General features: G+C 40.7%; 1 protein-coding gene across 10 annotated transcripts in view, besides 1 other annotated feature; it reads right to left on the bottom strand.

Annotated features, from left to right (window-relative positions):
* Nucleotides 1-23010, bottom strand: part of MTDH (metadherin) — an 86077-nt gene that overhangs the window by 41602 nt on the left and 21465 nt on the right. For all 10 annotated transcript variants that reach the window (NM_001363137.1, XM_011517369.4, NM_178812.4 and 7 more), the window contains exons 3-4: nucleotides 1907-1991; nucleotides 1054-1230 (exon numbers count right to left, since the gene is read on the bottom strand). In NM_001363137.1, coding sequence (NP_001350066.1) covers nucleotides 1054-1230; nucleotides 1907-1991 — 262 coding nt within the window. The remainder of the gene's footprint in view (nucleotides 1-1053; nucleotides 1231-1906; nucleotides 1992-23010) is intronic.
* Nucleotides 9961-10161: a silencer, noted in NCBI's record as "peak7115 fragment used in MPRA reporter construct". NCBI's record gives its function as "represses an SCP1 promoter by STARR-seq MPRAs in K562 erythroleukemia cells {active_cell/tissue: K562}" and the evidence as "EXISTENCE:reporter gene assay evidence [ECO:0000049][PMID:32103011]".

Here is a 23010-nt window from a genome sequence, read left to right as displayed (position 1 = left end):
AGCAAACACATCACCTTATGAAGAACTTTGCCAGTATTTGGGACCAGGACTTAGGAAATATGGCAAGAGGTGAGAATACACATTATAACACAAAAATACTATTTCTCTGACACTAAAAAGCATAATGATCACAATGTTTAAAAAAACCAGCATGACATAGGATTGTGCTAGCAAGGATGGCATGCACAAGACAGCGAAAAAGAATCAACAAAAATACTAAAGCATAGCTAATATGTAACAGTGAAAATGGGTAAGTAGAAGTCATTGCTGTACCATGGCAATAAATTCCACCAAGTTATCAAGCAAAAAATAAAAGGTAACAAGGCTAAGAAAATGGTTTGGAAACAACTGAGGTGTGGGGAGGTGGGAAGGTCATTAACAAAAAGACAAGGAAGATACGCCAATGCCTTCCAGCAAATTGAACAGTATCACTTTGCAGACTGGTGTCTCCAGGGTAAAAATGACGGTAATTTAAAGAGTGGGCTACCAAGAAGCCACCAGTATTGGATAGTATGAACATCTGAAATATTAATACTTGAGAGAAAGAACATTAGCTCAATCTTTGAAGTTCTGGTCTAGCTCTATCAAACATCTATAATATTCTCAAAAAGGTGGGGTGATAAGAAATCCAGACACAACCTGCACTCACCAGAACATGCATGATTCATCTTGGAATGAAAGCTCTCAACATGCAAAATGGTGATAAATCATTTCATTTAATAAATGTCTTATCCACTCTAAGGAACAGAGATGCAAGGGAGTTGGGGCAAAGTGATACGCACTAGAAAAGTGGCAACATCATTTTCTCATATGACTCAAGGCAGAAAGGCAAATTTTAATTTAATAGGCCAGTCATTAGGCAATACGTAACAAGTAACACTGCTGGTATTCGGTAAACCGATACATGGTTCACAATACTCTCATGAAGAAGGGTATATCAGCACAATGATGTTAGCATTCAAAATAGTCAGATTTTGACATAATGATATTTTGTACATCCGAATAAAAGGAGTTTGATTTGATGTACCACTGTCTTATGTTCCACTAATATACCTTTATTCTTCTTGGAACCAACAGGAAATGATGCGGTTGTAAGTTGCTCGGTGGTAACTGTGATGGTATTTTCTATCCCAGGGATAGTTGAATCCAATGAACCAGAATCAGTCAGCACCTTATCACGTTTACGCTGCTGTCGTTTCTCTCTGTGACTAATTTTAGTTTCCCAGGCTCCTGACATAGCCCCAGAAAAAAAATGTTATTCAGTAAGGGGAAGACAAAAAAGTTATAGTTTTGGGGGAGAATATGGGGTGGAGCACATAAAATATCATGATAAATTTAGATGTTAAGCTAAAACCAAGAGTGTTGATTATATTAACTCATCCTAAGAATGTTTTCTAATTTCATTATGTTGTTTTAGGCAACTGTTATTATTTATTCTGGTAATTTTTATCAAATCTGTCATCTATGGTTTAGAAAAAGTGATATATATAAGTCATCTTGTCTATCTTTTTTTATCTTGCTAGGTAGAAGTGACAGGAGTATTATATATAATCACTAATAAATGGGTTTATTAGGTGGTGATAATAAATGGTATATTTAAGAACCACGGGGGAAAAACAAACAAACCATAATTCCAGGAGACAAAGACAAGATGAATGACTTTTTAATTGCTCAAAATACTGAGCTTGACTTTAAATTTCAGGGCAGTTCCCTTCAGAAAAAGCACTACTGGATCCTTAACAAAAGCGTTTCCTAACAGTGTCACAGCTCTATATATTAAGGTCTACAGTAATAAAAAAGAAGAGCTAAACACAAAATTAAGTAAAACAAATGCAGCTTTTATATAATACACTTTGATAAAAAAGGATTAAAAAATTTTCTACAGTCCTTTCCCTTGCTCAAGTACCTTCATCAACTTCCTTTCCATCATGGCGTGAACTGTTTTGCACTGCTTTAGCATCTGACTTTGATTTCTTCTTATTTTTCTTTGACTGAAAGTAAAATAGAATGTTACTTAATATTTTGTTATGTTTTTGAATAAGTAGGAGTCAGTAAAATACATAATGAAATGTATGATGCTGACAACTAAAAAAAAATTAATGTTTGATTTAAAAAACTTAACATATTAAGTGGCAAAAATAATCATATGAGGTTACCATTGAGTGAGTGGTTACTATGTGTTAAGTATTCTGTACTCATTTTCTTATTTATTCCTTAAAAGAAACTTGCTGGAGAAGGTATTAGTCCCATTTTAGAGATGAGGAAATGAAAACTTAGAGATGTTAAATATTAACTAAATTGTTACCACATCATATTGTTAGTAAACTAAGTCATAATTAGGAACTAGGTCTGTCTGGCTCCAAAGCCTGTGCCCTTCCACATCATGCTAATATAAGTTACGTCATAAATACAGTACTGTAATACGGTGTTTTCAAAGCAATAAAATTAAAACCTATTGCAACATATTCAGATGAAAAATTATGTGGTGATTATCAGTTTTTGGATTGCATAAAGCAGATTGTTGCTGTATCCTATGTATAACAAATTAATGAGTCAATTGTACATAGCAGGTAATATTTTGTCAGTTTCAAAGCAATGTGAAAATACCTAGGATTTGTATACAGATGTTTAATACTTCAATCCAGATAAAATACCTATACGCATACAAGTTATGGCTGTTTTCGAATGATATTCCAATTCCCTTCTCCTAATATTATTCTATCCTTTCAAAAGCTTGCTAAAAACGAAATAAGCCATAATTTCTGTATTTCAATAAGTGCTTCCAAAAGAGAATTAACGTTTATAAAATAGTATTTTTATACTTTGTATTCACTTATTTAGCTATTTATTGAGATCAGCTATGTATATACTACTGCACACTATCTTTTTTTTTTTTTCTGAGATGGAGTCTTGCTCTGTCACCCAGGCTGGAGTGCAGTGGCGTGATCTCGGCTCACTGTAACTTCCACCTCCTGGGTTCAAGCAATTCTCCTGCCTCAGCCTCAGGAGTAGATGGGATTACAGGCACCTGCCACCATGCCTGGCTAATTTTTGTATTTTTAGTAGAGACAGGGCTTCACCATGTTGGCCAGGCTGGTCTCAAACTCCTGACCTTGTGCTCTGCCCGCCGTGGCCTCTCAAAGTACTGCACACTATCTTAAAGGCAGTAAATGAATCTGAGCAAGTGAGTAAGCAATGACAGAAAACTGCTTTTCCTACCAATAAAAAACCTGCATATATGCTCAAGTGACATGATCTATTCAAAGTGATTAAAAATTGTCTTTGACAAGAGATTACATTAAAAAAATAAATTTTTTTTACTGACCTCATAATTGATTTGCATTGTTCATTTTGCTGCATGTTCTCATTATCATTAACATGTATGTTTAATACACTGTTTTATTACAGTATGTATAATTAATATACTGCTTTATTACATGTACTAAACTAGACTCATATCCACTTAAAAAAAAAAGATATGTGGAGATATCCACATACCATAATAGTCACCCTTTTAAAGGTACACAATTCAGTGGTTTTTAGTATATCTGAAGTTGCACAACTATCAAAATTATTATTTTTTGGTTTTTTTTGAGACGGAGTCTCGCTCTGTCACCCAGGCTGGACTGCAGTGCCATGATCTCAGCTCACTGCAACCTCTGCCTCCCAGGTTCAAGCAATTCTCCGGCCTCAGCCTCCCGAGTAGCTGGGATTACAGGTGCCCACCACCACATCTGTATAATTTTTATATTTTTAATAGAGATGGGATTTCACCATGTCAGCCAGGCTGGTCTCGAACTCCTGACCTTAAGTGATCCGCCTTGGCCTCCCAAAGTGTTGGGATTATAGGCGTGAGCTGCTCCCAGCCTCAAAATTATTATTTAATCCCCAAAAAGAAACTCTGTAATGATTAGCGTTTACTCCCAGCTCCTCTTTTCTCACTGGCAACCATGATTCTACTTTCTGTCTTTGTCTTTACCATAGCCGCTCTTAAGTAAAGGTAACATATTGAACATCTGTCAACTACAGTTGAGCAGAGGCAGCAAACTTTTTCTGCAAAGGATCAAATAGTAAATATGTTAGGCTTTGCAAGCCACAGGGTTTTGGAGCAACCACAGAACTCTGCTCATATAGCATGAAAGCAGCCACATACAATTTATAAACAAAGGGGTGTGACTATGTTCCAATAAAATTTTATTTACAAAAACAGGCATCTGTCTGGATTTGGGGTGTCAGAGTTTGCTATCCTTGGTCTAGAGCAGTGCTGGCCAACAGAAATATAATGCAAACCACATATATATTTTTAAAAATTTCTAGTAGACACATTTTTAAGTTAAAATAGGTGACAATTTTAACACAACGTATCTATAATACTGTCATTTCAACATGGAACTCATATAAAAAAAGCAACACAATAAGATAGTATGTAAAAGAAAACAAAGTAAGTCTTCGAAATCTGGCATGTATTTTACACTTAACAGCAATCTCAATTTGGACTAGTCGTTTTTTTTTTTTTTTTGAGAAGGAGTTTTTCACTCTTGTTGCCCAGGCTGGAGTGCAATGGCGCGATCTCAGTTCACCGCAACCTCTGCCGCCTGGGTTCAAGCGATTCTCCTGCCTCCTGGGTTCAAGCGATTCTCCTGCCTCAGCCTCCTGAGAAGCTGGGATTACAGGCATGCGCTACCATGCCCAGCTAATTTTGTATTTTTAGTAGAGATGGGGTTTTTCCATGTTGGTCAGAGTGGTCTCAAACTTCCAACCTCAGGTGATCCACCCGCCTCGGCCTCCCAAAATGCTGGGATTACAGGCGTGACCACAGCGCCCGGCCGGACTAGTCACATTTTAAGTGCTCAATATCCACACGTGGCAAGTGGCCACTATACTGGACAGTGCAGGTCCACAGGAACTAAAGTAGGTATCCCCATTTTACACATAGAAACTGAGGCCATAAAAAGTGTTTAAGATTGCTGAGTGCGGTGGTTTACACCTGTAATCCCAGCAATTTGGAAGGTTGAGGTGGGAGGATCACTTGAGCTCAGGAGTATGAGACCAGCCAGGGCAACACACAGGGAGATTCTCTCTCTTAAAAAAAAAAAATCAGTGGGGGTGGCGGCATGCAACTGTGGTTCCAGCTACTTGGGAGGCTGAGGTGGGAGGATCACTCAAGCCTGGGAGGTTGAGGCTGAAGTGAGCTGTGATCATGTCACTGTATTCCAGCCTGGGTAACGGGGTGAGACCCTGTCTCAAAAAAACTCCAAAAAACAAACAAACAAAAAACAAAGAAAAGTGTCTAAGAGGCTGGGCGTGGTGGCTCACGCCTGTAACCCCAGCACTTTGGGAGGCTGAGGCGGGCAGATCCTGAGCTTAGGAGATCGAGACCATCCTGGCTAACATGGTGAAACCCATCTCTACTAAAAATACAAAAAATTAGCCAGGTGTGGTGGCACGTGCCTGTAGTCCCAGCTACTCGGGAGGCTGAGGCAGTAGAATCGCTTGAATCTGGGAGGCAGAGGTTGCAGTGAGCTGAGATCGCTCCACTGCACTCCAGCCTGGGTGACAGAGAGAGACTCCATCTCAAAAAAAAAAAAAAAAAAAAAAAAAAAAAAAAAAAAAGTGTCTAAGAGCATCATAGGGTAAAGTGGTGAAACTAGGACTAAATTCCAGTTCTGATCCACTTTACCCTTGCAAATAACCTCTTATTTAGTCTCCCCACATTTAACTCTAAATACAAATTTAATCATACATTAGCTATGTGACTTTGGGCTAAATCATTCTAAACCCTGTTCCCCACCCGTCATATGGACAAAAATTCCTACTAACCTCATATAAGGTTATTTTAAGAATTAAAACAAAAGGTGAAAAGAGTCTGTTAACGACAAAGTAGTATATATAAATAAGATTTTTTTTTAAGAAGGGAGACTTTGAAAAAATAATAGAAATTATGTTTACAAGGAAATATCTGGGGATTTGTAACTAAAAATCTGTAGAAAAAGATTATCTTAGATTAGGCTTAAATATTATTTGATATTACTACTGCCTTTAAAAGTAATTAACAAAAGGCCAGGTGCGGTGGCTCACGCCTGTGATCCCAGCACTTTGGGAGGCCAAGGCAGGCAGATCACCTGAGGTCAGGAATTTGAAACCAGCCTTGGCCAACATGGTGAAACCCTGTCTCTACTAAAAATAATAAAAATTAGCCAGGCGTGGTGGCGGGCGCCTATAATCCCAGCTACTCGGGAGGCTGAGGCAGGAGAATCGCTTGAACCTGGGAGGCGGAGGTTGCAGTGAGCCAAGACCACACCATTACACTCCAGCCTGGGCGACAGGGCAAGACTCCATCTCAAAAAAAAAAAAAAAAAAAAAAAAAAAAAAAAAAAATATATATATATATATATATATATATATATATATATATATATATATATATAAAGTAATTAACAAGAACACCCATCCCGATAAGATTAAATAAAATAATAGCTTATGAAAAACTTTAAAATAAATATGTGATATATACTGCTATTTGCCCTGGCCATACTACTGAAGCAAACATCTTACTTCTTAGCAGCTCCACTTTAGCTAAGACTTTTGAAGGAAGCTGGTAGCATAAAGCTCTGGCTTCCTTGTTACCACAGTTCTTTTTTCCCTAACTTGTTGTCAGGCTCCACCACAGAACTGAGTGGATAATTAAACTGGTCTTCTCTTAAATGGTCTTCATACAACCAAGATTTATAAAATAACTACTATGTGTCAGACACTGTTTTAGGAGCCGAGTATACATAACTAAATACAAGTCTTTACTGATAGCAACTGCGCTATCATCTAATAGGAGGATGACACGCAAGTGAGACATTAGGAAAAATTCTTATTGGCTGGGCACGGTGGCTCATGCCTGTAATCCCAGCACCTGGAAGGCTGAGGTGGGCGGATTACCTGAGGTTAGGAGTTTGAGACCAGGCTGGCCAACATAACAAAACCTATCTCTACTAAAAATACAAAAATCAGCCAAGCGTGCTGGTGCATGCCTGTAATCACAGCTACTCGGGAGGCTGAGGCAGAAGAATCGCTTGAACCCGGGAGGCGGAGGTTGCAGTGAGCTGAGATCACACCATTGCACTCCAGACTGGGTAACAAGAGCGAAATTCCATCTCAAAAAAAAAAAAAAAAAAAGAAAAAATTCTTATCTTCAAGAGTTTCCTTCCCAATATATCTTATCAATCCAATTAATTTTCATTCTTACTTTAAAAAAAAAAACCGCTGCAGATATTTCCTACCTTTTACAAGGTCTAACTTCCTTACATGACATATGATGTCTTCCACAAATTGATCTCAACCTTACATTCCTTTATTCATACATATGAGCATTTGATTCCTACAAGACTGGTACCTCTTTGAACATTCCTGTTTTTAACCAAGCTGCACTGACTGTGGATTTTTTCTCAGAACAAAGTGCTGGAGTGATTTTCTTTGCACCTGAATCATCTGCTCCCCTACCGATGTTCAATGCCTGAAATGGCCTGTACTCATTTTTTTTTTCTGACCCAGCTCACGTTCCACTCCATTTGCTTTATCTCTACCACTGTCCCCCTTTTCCTTTCCCCTAAATACATATAATCTTGCATCTCAAAACATTTAAAACTGAAAAAGATTTGGTCATTTGTCACAAACTTCCTTGGGACATTTCCAGTATGGCTATACCTTTCCATGTGTTAAAGTGTTCCCAGTTTTCTAATAATAAGCTTCTTAAAAGCAAAAGAACAAGAGATATTTCATTATATTCTCAACAGAATCTCTACTTCCCTTTATTTGAATGCTTCATGATCAGCACTGATAGAAATACGCTTTTGAGGAAGCCTGTCTAGCATTTGAAATTAGCAGGGGTTCAGATACTGCATGAAACTAACGACCTTTAACCCAAAACCTCTGAAATTATTCAAAACAGACATCACTCAATGTATCAGAAGTCATCTCAAAAAATCTGTATGTTAATTTTCCTATTAGCTTTCACTAAATTTCACATTATGTCTTCTTTCCATCTCATATACATAATACAGATATTACCAACAAAGTAGGCTATAGTATAGTCCCATTAGAAAAAAATCTTTGTGTTATATGTTAAGTACATGTATAGGCATGTGTGCACATGTATGTGCATGTATACATACACACACCATAACACTCCTAAAAGAGGAATGAGTTAAATGACAATGAATACATATTCATTGGGACTACAAACAATATTTGCACGTGGAACAGCAAATGGCTCCATTCTTTTAAATCTAGATGATGAGCTGGGTGCGGTGGTACATGCTTGTAATCCCAGCACTTTGGAGGGGCTGAGGTGGGCCGACCGATTGAGGCCAGGAGTTTGAGACCAGCCTGGGCAACACGGCAAAACTGTGTCTCTACAAAAAATAAAAAATTAGCTGGGCATGGTGGTGCACACCTGTAGTCCTAGCTACTCGGCAGACTGAGGTGGGAGGATCACTTGAGCCCAGGAGGTCGAGGTTGCAGTGAGCCAAGATTGCACCACTGCACTCCAGCTTGGGCGACAGAGCAAGACCTTGTCTCAAACGAACAAACAAAAAAACTAGATGACGAAAAGGCTTTGATAAATAATCATTAGATCCACCATTACAACTTTCTAAAACTGCCAAAGATATATACTGAATAAGACAGATTGATAATTCCTTAGGAAATTATGACGAATAAGTTCCAAAAATTCTAGTATCTTATTAGGAGTTACTCAAAATAAGTAAATAAGCAGTGCCAATACTCAATTGCTAATCAATATATGGAACATATGGTAACTCACTTAAATACCTGAGTAAATATGCCAGATAAAGGGGTCTGCTATCACTCTTGTAACAGCGGGTTAAATAAGCTTGTTGTTCTCATACTTCCATGGGAAAAAATTGAGCATATACCCCAAGATATTTGTTTATAAATTTTATACACATTCTACTACACTGATAGTGTATACATTTGTAAAATATAACTATTTTTAGTGATAGCAATATCAATGCACATGCTTCATTCTTTCGAATATCTTCTAAATGCATTCATTTTAATATCTGGTATTAAATATTGTTATACTTGAAAAAGTAAGAAGATCAAAATGGAAGACACATGATTGGCCATGCTTACTGAAATACGACACTAATTTTTCAACCTAATTCTCCAACTATGCAAAAGTTTTTGTGAAAATTCAGCCAGTAAATTTTAATCTTTAACATCAATACATTGTTTCTGTATTGAACTGTAGATCAGAAAGTTCTACAGTTTTTGGTACTTTCTACTTTATTATTATTATTACTATTATCATCATCATCATTTTGTTCTTGTTATTACCATGGGTGAGATAATTTTTTTTTGTATTTTTAACAAGTGAATTCACTAAAAAGACAAAATTTTACATCTGGTTTATAGCTATTACTTACATAGTTCCATTTAAATTCTCAAAGTAACCCTAGGTAAATGCTATTCTATCCATTTTGTAGATAAGAAAAGGGAGGCACAAGTGATTACTAACCAACCCCCAAATCACATCATTAGTCAAGTGTTAGAACTGGAATTGGATCCCATGTACTCGTGCTCTGGAATCTGGGCTGTTAGGCTATTTTTCTGTTAGAAAATTGCTCCCAAGCTGGGCAGATATGAGGATTTTCACATCTAACGTACAAACGCTCTTTAATAACAAATCATGCAATGATGTAAGTTTGTCAGAATACACTCTTCATTGCATGAGTTTCTTTCAAAAATTGGCTATTTTCTGACATCTTGTTAAGTAAGCTTTCCTTAAGCGTGAAGGGGCAGATTCAGTATAAATTCTTTGTAAAAGTATCTGGTAAGCAGACAACCATTTATCTTTATAAAAAAGATAAACAGACTTGGAACACTTCATTTTTCATAAAAGAAAAATAGGCCAGTCAAGGTGGCTCATGCCTGTAATCCCGAAATATTGGGAGGCTGAGGTGGGAGGATTGTTTGAGGCCAGGAGTTCGAGACCAGCCTGGGTGACTAAGCAATTCTGTCTCTCTCTCAAAAAAAAAAAAAAAAAAAAAAAAGAAGGAAGGAAGGAAGCAAAGGAAACAGAGAGAGAAAGAGGGAGAAAGGAGAAAAAATGTATGACTCGCTTTTAAAAGTTGTTCAGCTTTATCAAAGTATTTTGCTATAATAGAGTCAATGAATCCTCTTGTAAAATCTTTGCATCATAAAAGATGATTATCACCTTCACCCTTACTGTAATTTGAAGGTCTTCCAATTTGCCATCTGGCATTAATCTCTTTTGTCATCATAGTTTTCTAGAAATAATGTAGTAAATAAATTTCACACATGGTGGTATCTCTCCCTAACTCTCCATTTATTTTTTTAATTCCAGTCAAAGCCGTCCATCAGTGGTTTTTGTTTAGTTTTTCCACAAACATTCAAAAAAGTTAAATAAGTGATTTACAGTTGAGAATATATCTTTGTGGATATCTCTTTAATTGCTCACAAAAGTGGTTCTTCATGTGTTTCATTACTGAAATAGAATCTAGCAAGTACTCCCAAGCTTTAATGTTAGAAACATCTGTACATTATCCCTACCAGGCTGGGAAATTTGCTCTGGTACTAATTTATTTAATATCATTAGCAACATTTTTATGCTGCATCAAACAGTATATGCTAATGAATGAATGCATTTTGATTGGCTGTAATATTGTTTTTTGCTAATTACCATGGCAGAGGAACAAGTGTTTCCCCATAGTATTTCTTTCTCTATTTAAATAAGAAACCCTCAAGAAATGCATCCAGTCATTTATAATTAAATTCAGTAAAATTTTGTCATATAGAATAATGCATAAATAAATACCTCCAAAAAAACTAGAAATGCCAGTTTTTACATTCTGAATGCTTAGATATCTTGCTAAATTAGAATAGTTTCAGAATACCATTAGCTAAAATTTCAAGGCACAGTATAATTAGGCAAAGTTTTTATTTTAAATACCAAAAGTATAAACATATTGTTATTTCAAAACCCCTTCTTGATGATTTCACTATCTGGATCAATTTATATAACATCTGATTAAATCATCATAACTTCATGGTGATGTAGCTGATAGAGTTCTTACTAGAAATAATAGTGTCCACTTCCTTTTTCTTTTCTTTCTTTCTTTCTTTTTTTTTTTTTTGAGATGGAGTCTCGCTCTGTCGCCCAGGCTAGAGTGCAGTGGCATGATCTCAGCTCACTGCAACCTCCGCCTCCCAGGTTCAAGGAATTCTCCTGCCTCAGCCTCCCGAGTAACTGGGACTACAGGCACCTGCCACCATGCCCGGCTAATTTTTTATTTTTAGTAGAGACGGGGTTTCACCATCTTGGCCAGGCTGGTCTCGAACTTTTGACCTTGTGATCCACCTGCCTCGGCCTCCCAACGTGCTGGGATTACAGGCATGAGCCACTGCGCCCGGCCTTTTTTTTTTTTTTTTTTTTTTTTTTTTTTTGAGACAGGCTTTTACTGTTGCCCAGGCTGGAGTGCAGTGGTGTGATCAAGGCTCACTGCAGCCTTGACCTCCTGGGCTCAAGTGATCCTCCTACCTCAGCTTCCCACGTAGCTGGGACTATAGGCATGCGTCATCATGCCTGGCTAATTTTTGTATTTTTTTTTTTTTTTTTTTTTGAGATAGAGTCTCACTCTGTCGCCCAGGCTGGAGTGCAATGGCACAATCTCAGCTCACTGCAACATCCACCTCCTGGGTTCAAGCAATACTCCTGTCTCAGCCTCCTGAGTAGCTGGGACTACGGGTATGTGCCACCACGCCCAGCTAATTTTTTTGTATTTTTTAGTAGAGAGGGGGTTTCACCATGTTAGCCAGGATGGTCTTGATCTCCTGACCTCGTGATCTGTCCACATGGGCCTCCCAAAGTGCTGGGATTACAGGCATGAGCCACCACACCTGGCCAATTTTTGTATTTTTTGTAGAGACAAGGTTTCACCATGTTGCCCAAGCTGGTCTCGAACTCCTAGGCTCAAGCAATCCACCCACCTTGGCCTCCCAAAGTGCTGGGATTGCAGGCGTCAGCCACCACACACAGCTGAGTATTTCTAATATTAGACAATACCCAAACAATAAGTGGTATCACTTATTAGAGTGGCAAAAAGTACATGTTGGCAGCAAGAGTAGAGCTATTCAAATGGCTAACTGCCCCCTTAGCAGATTTTGACAGAGAATTGCAAAGTACAAAGAAAGGCATAGTGTACAATTCATGCCAAAAAGACCAATTTAAGGAGTATAATCTATTATCTGTATAGTATCAAAACTATCACAAGGGGGATACCGTACAAATTTTAAGTGACACTATTCTTATCATTAAGATACTTTCTACATCCCAGAGACAAACCATAAAAGCAAAAATAAGTAAATAAAAATAAAACACCTTCTGTGGCCAGGTGCAATGGCTCAAGCCAGTAATCCCAGCACTTTGGGAGACAGAGGTGGGAGGAACACATGCATCCAGGAGTTCGAGAACAGCCTGGGCAATACAGTGAGACCCTGTCTTTACAAAAAATACAAAAATTAACCAGGCATGGTGGTGCACGCCTGTAGTCCCAGCTACTTGGGTGGCTGAGATGGGAGGATCACCTGAGCCCGTAAGATTGAGGATGCTGTGAGCCATGATTGTACCACTGCACTCAGCCTGGGCAACAGAGTGAGACCCTATCTCAGAAAAAAAAAAAAAAAAACCTATTTGCAACTAGCCATTTATACAAGGTAGGTAGCCAGGTTCTAAATGTAAATTCTTTTTTTTTTGTAGACAGGGTCTGGCTCTGCTACCCAGGCTGGAGTGCAGTGGCATGATCTCGGCTCACTGCAACTTCTACCTCCTGGGCTTAAGCCATCCTCTCACCTCAGCCTCCGAAGGAGCTGGGACTACAGGCATACGCTACCACACCAGGCTAATTTTTGTATTTTTTGAAGAGACAGGGTTTTGCCATGTTGCCCAGGCTTGTTTCGAACTCTTGAGCTCAAGCAATTTGCCCACCTCAGCCTCCCAAGTGCTGGGATTACAGGTATGAGTCCCCTTTGCCTGGCCCTGAATGTAATTTTTTTTTTTTTTTTTTTTGAGACAGAGTCTTGCTCTGTCACCCAGGCTGGAGTGCAGTGGCACGATCTCGTCTCACTGCAACCTCCACCTCCTGGGTTCAAGCAATCTTGTGCCTCAGCCTCCCGAGTACCTGGGACTACAGGTGCATGGCACCACACCCAACTAATGTTTGTATTTTTAGTAGAGACTGGGTTTCGCCATGTCGGCCAGGCTGGTCTCAAACTCCTGACCTCAGGTGATCTACCCACCTCAGCCTCCCAAAGTGCTGGGATTACAGGTGTGAGCCACTGTGCTCAGCCCTGAATGTAATTCTTACTCAATTTATTAATTCTCTATTCTGGATGTACTGGTCCTTAAAAATTTGGTGAACTGACATCTTTAATATTTATAGCCCTATAAACATCTAAAGATTTTCATGGTAATGCCAGAAGTGATAAAGGAATGAGAGCATGAATAAAAGGGAATGCTGGCTGGGCACAACAGCTCACATCTGTAATCTCAACAATTTGGGAGGCCGTAGCAGGTGGATCACTTGAGCCCAGGAGTTCAAGACCAGCCTGGGCAACATGGTGAGACCCCATCTCTACAAAAAATAAAAAATTAGTCGGGTGTGGTGGTGCATGCCTGTAGTCCCAGCTACTTGGGAAGCTGAGGTGGGAGAATCACTTGAGCCCGGGAGGGCAAGGTTGCAGTGAACCTTGGTCATGCCACTGCAGTTCAGCCTAGGTGACAGAGCAAGACTCTGTCTCAAGAAAAAAAAAAAGAATGCTGAGTATTTTCTTGCTATGATGTTTTGGTCTGCAGACTACTGACTGGTGTATAAGGTTTTCAACTACCTCATGGAAAAAAGTGTTCTATTTTCTGAGATTTTTGTTTTTTCTACTTCTATTGTGTCAACATTTTCATTTTTGTAATATTAACAATGTTTTTTAAAATGCACTTGATAAAATTAAAATTGCTTTAGAGTCAATTTCACCCACTTTCTGGCCAAATATGGCAAGTTCCTACTTTAGATTGCTTCACATTTTGGCACTATTTATTTTTCTCACTTGTCCCAAATATATATACAAACTGGGCATGGTTAAATGGGAAAGCATGGATTATCCAAGAAGCATACTAGTTATATTTCACTATTTTGCCTATACCAGCAGTTCTCCATCTTAGTAACCTTGTGATACAATATCAGGATGAGAGTGTGAAAACTGTCACAAATCTCCTTAAGAGTAGAAAAGTCTGCAATTGATTTCCCCCCTTTTGGTGGGGTTTAACTTAAAGGAGATTCAAGGTTATTCCACTTGGTACTATTGTTATTTTCCTAAATGGAAGAAGTAGGAGAATTGCAGGTGCAGGGAAGTGCCCACAACCTGCACTTTATCTCTATCTCCTTACCGTGCTTGATTTTTTTTCTCATTTTTGTTCTTTTCAGAGACAGGGTCTCTGTTGTTCAGGCTGGAGTGCCAGTGACTTGATTACAGCTTGCTACAGTCCCAAACTCTGGGGCTCAAGTGATCCTCCCACCTCAGCCTCCTGAGTAGCTGGGACTACAGGTGCATGCCACCATGCCTGGCTAATTAAAAAAATTTTTTTTGATTAACTGATTTTTGAGATAGGGTTTCGCTCTGTTGACCAGGCTGGAGTGCAGTGGTACGATCTTGGTTCACTGCAACCTCCGCCTCTTGGGCTCAAGCAATGCTCCTACCTCAGCCTCCCAAGTAGCTGGGAATACAAGCATGCACCACCATGCCTGGCTAATTTTTATATTTTTGGTAGAGACAGGGTTTTGCCATGTTGCCCAAGCTGGTCTTGAACTCTGGAGCTCAAGCTATCTGCCCGCCTTGGCCTCCCAGAGTGCTGGCATTAAAGGTGTGAGCCACTGCACCCGGCCAATTCCTGTGCCCCCCCTTCCCCGCCCCGCCCAAGACAGAGTTTTGCTCTTGTTGCCCAGGCTGGAGTGCAACAGCGCGATCTCAGCTCACTGCAACCTCCACCTCCTGGGTTCAAATGATTCTCCTGCCTCAGCCTCCCAAGTAGCTGGGATTACAGGCGCCAGCCACCATGCCCTGCTGATTTTTTGTATTTTTAGTAGAGACAGGGTTTCACCATATTGGCCAGGCTGGTCTTGAACTCCTGACCTCAGGTGATCCACCCACCTTGGCCTCCCAAAGTGCTGGGATTACAGGCGTGAACCACCGTGCCTGGCCTAAATTTAAAAATTTTTTTGTACAGGTGGGGTCTCACTATGTTGCCCAGGCTCGTCTTGAACTCCTGGCCTCAAGAGATTCTCCCTTCTTGGCCTCCTGAAGTGCTGGGATTACAGATGTGAGCCACCATGCCTGGCCTAATTGTTTTCTTTCATAGCACTTACCACCAGACAGTAGAGAATATGCTTATATTTTTAGTTGTTTTCCCGACTAAGTTTCACAAGAGTAGGGGCTCTTGTTTTATCAACTGTTGTATTTCTAATGCCTACAGTAGTACCTTGTACGCAGAAGGTATTCAGTTAATTTATGAGTAACCAATGAAAGAGCCTAAAATTAGACTGAATTACATACAGCCGTGTCTACCTAACTCTTATTCGGTCCCTCCACTCAAATAAAACCTCTGAGCTACTATATTTGTATACATGATCCATCGTCCAAGTCATTAAATTATTTAAATATGTCTGGAGTGGGCTCATAGGACATAGCACACGGCACAAGCAACATGGCTAAACTCACAATCCTAAGACATTTACAAGAAACCTCTCTTAAGAACGCCTTTTATCTAGCTTTGAACTTTTCCCCAGATACGGTTCTCACATTCCCAACAAACTAATAAATTAATTTCAGTATGAGATCCCATTCTCGCCACAATCTAAGCATGTTTAAAACCAAATTTGCCATTTCACCGTTTTTCAATCCCCTCTTGCCACTTCCTGTGTAAGGTAAAACCATGGTATAGTGGAAAAATGACTGACTGGGGCAGAAATCCTGGTTCTGGTCTCCATTTGGCCATTTGCAGTTCAGACAGAAAAGTCTAGAGGGATAAATATGGTTTTCCTGGTATGGTATTCTTTTTTACAGAAAAACAGTTTTGTAGCTTTGTTTACCTTAAAGGGAAACTTGAAAACTAATTCCTTGGGTGGGAACCCAAGAAATCATGAAACTATAAATTCTGTGGCACAAGAGAACCCAAAAGGTTAATAGTCCAAGGCTCAGAGAACATATCAAAGCACTCAGATAAAACATTTAAAGACTCCAAAGGACTACAATGAGAATTTAATAGGTTCAGGAAGGGGGAAAAAAAGAGCCAGACAGTAAATATTTTAGGCTTTGCAGATCATAAGGTCTCTCCTGTTGAAACTATCCAACTCCACTGCTATAGTAAAAAACTGCCAATGATAAATAAATAAGTGTGGCTGTGTTTCCATAAAACTTTATTTACAAAACAGGCAGAGCACTAGATTTGGCCATGGTTTGCCAACCTATGGTTTTAAACTATAGTTTCTAAGATGCATTATGGAGGGAAAATACACATGTGTATAAACTCTTTGGGCATGCAGATATTCTGTTTTGCTAAGAGCTGTTTTAGCTTATACTTGTTTAAATGCATGTTACCTCAAAATTATTTTGTTTTTGACTTTCTAGACACTGATCTCTCCCAGAGCAATTCTCAAACCTCTGGGTCACACGATACTCTTTTAGATTCCTAAAATGTATTAAGGATGTCATTAAGAGCCATTATTATTATTATTTGAGATGGGGTCTTGCTCTACCATCCGGGCTGGAGGGCAGTGGCACGATCTCGGCTCACTGCAACCTCTGCCTCCTGGGGTTCAAGTGATTCTTGTGCTTCAGCCTCCCAAGTAGCTGGGACTACAGGCACGTACCACCATGCCAAGCTAATTTTTGTATTTTTAGTAGAGATGGGGCTTCTTCATGTTGGCCAGGCTGGTCTTGAACTCCCACCTTGGCCTCCTAAAGTGCTGGGATTACAGGTCTGAGCCACTGTGCCTGGCCAAGAGCCTTTGTTTATGTGGGTTATATCTATCATACAAACTTAAGAAATTGTTTAGATATATTAATTTATAACAAAATAATCATAAATTATACGTTATATAATGATACCTATATATTTTTCAAAACAAAAAAAAATTTGCGAGAACAGTGGCAGATTTTATATTCTGCAAATATCTTTAATGTCTACCTTAAGACAGCTGGATTCATATATCTGTGTTTGTATTCAATTTACTGCAACACATTATTTTGACTGAGGCACGATATGGTTTGGATCTGTGTCCGAACCCAAATCTCATACTGAAATGTTATCCCCCACCGGGTGCTATGGCTCATGCCTGTAATCCCAGCACTTTGGGAGGCCGAGACACGAGGATCACCTGAGGTCAGGAGCTCAAGACCAGCCTGGCCAACAAGGTGAAACCCCGTCTCTACTAAAAATACAAAAAATTAGCCGGGCGCGGTGGTGGGCGCCTGTAGTCCCAGCTACTCGGGAGGCTGAGGCAGGAGAATGGCGTGAACCCGGGAAGCGGAGCTTGCAGTGAGCCGAGATTGCGCCACTGCAGTCCGCAGTCCGGCCTGGGCGACAGAGCGAGACTCCGTCTCAAAAAAAAAAAAAAAAAAAAAAAACAACAACAACAACAAAAAAAACAAAAAAATTAGCCAGGCGTGGCAGTGGGCGCCTGTAATCCCAGTTACTCGGGGGGCTGAGGCAGGAGAATCACTCGAACCCAGGTGGCGGAGGTTGCAGTGACCCGAGATTGCACCATTGCACTCCAGCCTGGGCAACAGAGAGAGCTCATGCTTTACCTTCTGCCATGGGTTGCTCCCAGAGGCCTCCTGAGAAGCAGATGTTGCTATGCTTCCTGTACAGCCTGTGGTACTGTGAGCCAACTGAACCCTCTTTTCTTTATAAATTATCCAGTTTCAGGCATTTATTTTTATTTTTTATTTTATTTTGAGACGGAGTCTCGCTCTGTCACCAGGCTGGAGTGCAGTGGCACGATCTCAGCTCGCTGCAACCTCCACCTCCTGGGTTAAAGTGATTCTCGTGACTTAGCCTCCCAAGTGGCTGGGATTATACGGGCACACGCCACCACACCCAGCTAATTTTCTTTTTGTATTTTTAGTAGAGACGGGGCTTCACCTTGTTGGCCAAGATGGTCTCAATCTCCTGACCTCATGATCCATCCACCTCAGCCTCCCAAAGTGCTGGAATTACAGGCACGAGCCACCAAGCTGGTCTTTTGTTTTGTTTTTGTTTTTTTTAGACAGGGTCTCACTCTTCACCCAGGCTAGAGGGCAGTGCCACGATCTCAGCTCACTACAGGCTCCGCCTCCGGAGTTCAAGTGATTCTCCCACCTCAGCCTCCCAAATAGCTGGGACTACAGGCGGCGTGCCACCGTGCCTGGCTAATTTTTGTATTTTTAATAGAGACGAGGTTTCGCCATGTTGCCCAAGCTGGTCTCAAACTCTTGGCCTCAAGTGATCCACATGTCTCAGCCTCCTAAAGTGATGGGACTACAGGCGTGAGCCACGGCGCCCAGGCACGTACTTCTTTATAGCGGTGAGAGAAAGGGCTAACACAAGGCAAAAAAATCCAGGCTACATATACACAGAAACGCAAGTAGAAAAGGGAGTAGTTTTTTTTTTTTTTTTGAGATGGAGTCTCCCTCTGTTGATCAGGCTGGAGTGCAGTGGTGCGATCTCTGCTCCACTCCGCCTGCAACCTCCGTCTCCCAGGTTCAAGTGATTCTCCTGCCTCACCCTCCCAAATAGCTGGGATTACAGGCGTGTGCCATCATGCCCAGCTAATTTTGTATTTTCAGTACAGACGGGATTTCACCATGTTGGCCAGGCTGGTCTCGAACTCCTGACCTCAAATGGTCCACCTGCCTCGGCCTCCCAAAGTGCTGGGATTACAGGCATGAGCCACTGTGATTGGCGGGAGTAGTATTTTAAGAGCTTCTTCACATAATTCTGGGTCTCACTCCTCCTTGATATTATAGCAGAAATTAGTAGTTGCAGGGGGACTGGGGATAAGTGGCGGAGAGGGGAAAATATTAAGTTACTGCTAATGGACACGAGATTTCTTTTTGGGGTGAGGAAAATGTTCTAAAATTATATATTGTGGTGCCAGGCGCAGTGGCTCATGCCTGTAATCCCAGCAGTTTGGAAGGCTGAGGCAGGTGGATCGCTTGAGGTCAGGAGTTCTAGACCAGCCTGGCTAACATGGTGAAACCCCGTCTCTATTAAATACAAAAATTAGTTGGGTGTGGTGGCAGGTGCCTGTAATCCCAGCTACTAGGGAGGCTGAGGCAGGAGAATTGCTTGAACCCAGGGAGGTGGAGGTTGCAGTGAGCGGAGATCGTGCCACTGTACTCCAGCTTGAGAAACAGAGCGAGACTCCGTCTCAAAAAAAAATTAGATTGTGGTGATAGCTGTAAAACTCTGTGAAAACATTTAAATCACACATTTAAAACAAGTAAATTTAATGGCTTATCTCAAAATAAAGCTGTTTAACAAAAGGGAAAGAAAACCAATGTGGCTGGAGTTCAGAGAGGGTAAGAAGTGGGAGATGAGACAAGGCAGGGGGCTTTTAGGTCATGTTTCAGATTGGGGAGTGTTTTCTAAGAGCAATGGGAAGGCATGAAGGGTTTTAGGTAGAGGAGGGAAAAACATTACACCAAAACTCATCACATCATAACTTTATAAAAGTTGTTACATGGCCGGGCGCGGTGGCTCATGCCTGTAATCCCAGCACTTTGGGAGGCCGAGGTGGGCGGGCCATTTGAGGTCAGGAGTTCGAGACCAGCCTGGCCAACATGGTGAAATCCCATCTCTATTAAAAATACAAAAATTAGCCAGGCGTCATGGTGGGCGCCTGTAATCCCAGCTACTCGGGAGGCTGAGGCAGGAGAATCACTTGAACCTGGGAGGCAGAGGTTGCAGTGAGCCGAGATTGTGCCATTGCACTCCAGCCTGGGTGACAAGAGCTAGACTCTGTCTCAAAAAAAAAAAGTTGTTACAGTGTGGAATCTGAAATTGCATCAATGAACTTTCCATATTCTATTACATTAAAATCCATTGGTCTATCTTGCAATTTTTTTCCTTTTCTTTCTTTTTTTTTGGCCCATGACACAGCCCTCAGGAGATCCTGGGAACATGTGCCCCTATATTGCAATGTGCATGAATCTTTTATGCATGATTTTGTAACATGCAAGCACTGGTCCACTGGAAAATTATTTGTTCACTGAGTTATAAAGATCTTCCAAAAATTTTTTTCTTTTTTTTTGAGATGCAGTCTAGCTTTGTCGCCCAGGCTGGAGTATAGTGATGCGATTTGGGCTCACTGCAAGCTCCGCCTCCCGGGTTCATGCCATTCTCCTGCCTCAGCCTCCCGAGTAGCTGGGATTACAGACGCCTGCCACCTCGCTCGGCTAGTTTTTTGTATTTTCAGTAGAGACGGGGTTTCACCGTGTTAGCCAGGATGGTCTTGATCTCCTGACCTTGTGATCCACTGATCTCGGCCTCCCAAAGTGCTGGGATTACAGGCGTGAGCCACCGCGCCTGGCGGTAGATCTTCCAAAATGTTAAAACATTCCATTAAACAACATATATTTTTTAAAATTACATTTGTTAATATACCAACTAACGTCATTAGAAATTCCTTATGTACTGGTAAGTTGTCAAGCTCATGGTAGCAGACACAAATTTTCCAAATTTCTTCCTTTTTTTTTTTTTTTTTTTAATATAGAGACAGGGTCTCGCTATGTTGCCCAGGCTAGTCTTGAACTCATGGGCTCAAGCAATCCTCCTGCCTTGGCCTCCCAAAGTGATGGGATTACAGGTGTGAGCTACTGCACCAGCAAATTTTCCAAATTTCTAATTTTCACTTGCCAACAAGTCATGTTATCATTTGCAACAAATACTACCAGCTTCCTTTAAGCGACAAGATAGCCTTGTTCATTTTTGAGAAAAGGTCTGCAAATATGCAAATCTGAATAATCACGGCTTGTCTATCAGTCATTCTTTCAAGCAAAAAAAGAGTAATATGAATAAGTGGCTAATTTGGCACACAAGCCATTGCATAAGTGTTTTTCCTCAAGACAATCATCAGTCTTCATTTTGCAGCAAACTTTATGCATATATTCCATTTCATCACACAGATTAAAAAGCATGTGTTTAAGAACTGAGATTTAATAAAGATTTAATAAAGCTAATAATAATTTTTGCTGCTTCATTAAGGACACTCAAGTGAAACTAGCATTTTTTTTTTAACTGTGAGTAGATGGCAGTAAAAAATACAATGAGATGCCTGTGATCCCAGCACTCTGGGAGGCCAAGGCAGGTGGACTGCTTTGAGCTGAGGAGTTCAAGAACAGCCTGGGCAACATGGTAAGACAGCGTCTCTACAAAAAATTAGCTGGGCACATGGTAGTGTGCATCTGCAGTCCCAGCTACTTGGGAGGCTGAGGTAGAAGGATTGCTTGAGCCTGGGAGGTCGAGGCTGCAGTGAGCATGACTGTGCCACTGCGCTCCAGGCTGGGTAACAGAGTGAGAGTCTCTTCAAACAAAACAAAATGGCAGGGTACGGTGGATCTCACCTATAATCCCAGCACTTTGGGAGGCGGAGGCAGGTGGATCACCTGAGGTCAGGGGTTCAAGACCAGCCTGGCCAACACAGTGAAACCCCGTCTCTACTAAAAATACAAAAATCAGCCGGGGGTAGTGGCAGGTACCTGTAATTCCAGCTACTCAGGAGACTGAGGCATGAGAATTGCTTGAACCTGGGAGGTGGAGGCTGCAGTGAGTGAGATCGTGCCACTGCACTCCACCCTGGGCGACAGAGTGAGACTGTCTCAAAAACAAAACAAAACAAGAATATAATGAGTGGAAGTTTGGTTCCACTGCCTTGGTTCATGATAAGGAGCCAGCAGTTTTACCTATTATCGCTTTTGCACCATCAGTGCAAGCATCAACATAGTTAAAAAGGAAAATAATGTCTTAATTATTATGAAAATAGTTTTGCCTTCAGGGACCTAATGAAAGGGTCACTAGGGTCCCTTCCTAGGGGTTCACTGACCATGCTTCAAAAACTGCTGCCTTAGAGAAACTGAAGGAGCATTCCTTATCAGCTATGTGTTCCTGGACAATTCACAAAACTCTTTATTGAGCTATGTAAAAGAAATGATAATGTCCTCAGAGTTGTTCATCAGGATTAAGAGATATGAAAATGTTTTGTACAAATATTTTGTATATTGTGTAGCATCATAAAAATTTAAGACCTTATTAATACTTGTAATAAATGATATCAGGGTTTAGTGGATATCGCTGACTTCATCCTAACAACTTGGTGGTGACAAAAGTTTACACATTTTGTTTCCGTTGTTTCTCTCACTAGCAATCTTTACATTTCTACATTAATTCAGATCTTTTTTTTTTTTTTTTTTTGAGACGGAGTCTCGCTCTGTCGCCCATGCTGGGGTGCAGTGGCACAATCGTGGCTCACTGCAAGCTCCGCCTCCTGGGTTCAGGCCATTCTCCTGCCTCAGCCTCCTGAGTATCTGGGACTACAGGCGCCTGCCACCATGCCCGGCTAATTTTTTGTATTTTTAGTAGAGACGGGGTTTCACTGTGTTAGCCAGGATGGCCTCGATCTCCTGACCTCTCGTAATCCGCCCGCCTCTGCCTCTCAAAGTGCTGGGATTACAGGCGTGAGCCACCGCGCCCGGCCAGATCTTTACAATCAGAGATGCAAAACTGATTCATTAATCATCAATGTTGCTGCCAGTTGAAAATATCTAAGTTTTTATCACATCCCTACCCTATCTTGACCAGTCAAACTTGTCTAAGGCTTCCCCTTATGTCTGAATATGTCCATTTGTTTAATCTAAATAATGTCAGGTTGTGTTCATTTGTTTCTCTTCCCT

Source organism: Homo sapiens, chromosome 8, assembly GCF_000001405.40.
Source record: "Homo sapiens chromosome 8, GRCh38.p14 Primary Assembly".
Classification (NCBI taxonomy): Eukaryota; Metazoa; Chordata; class Mammalia; order Primates; family Hominidae; genus Homo; species Homo sapiens.
The sequence above is the reverse complement of the archived record's forward strand: the minus strand, read 5'-3'. Positions and strand labels throughout refer to the sequence as shown.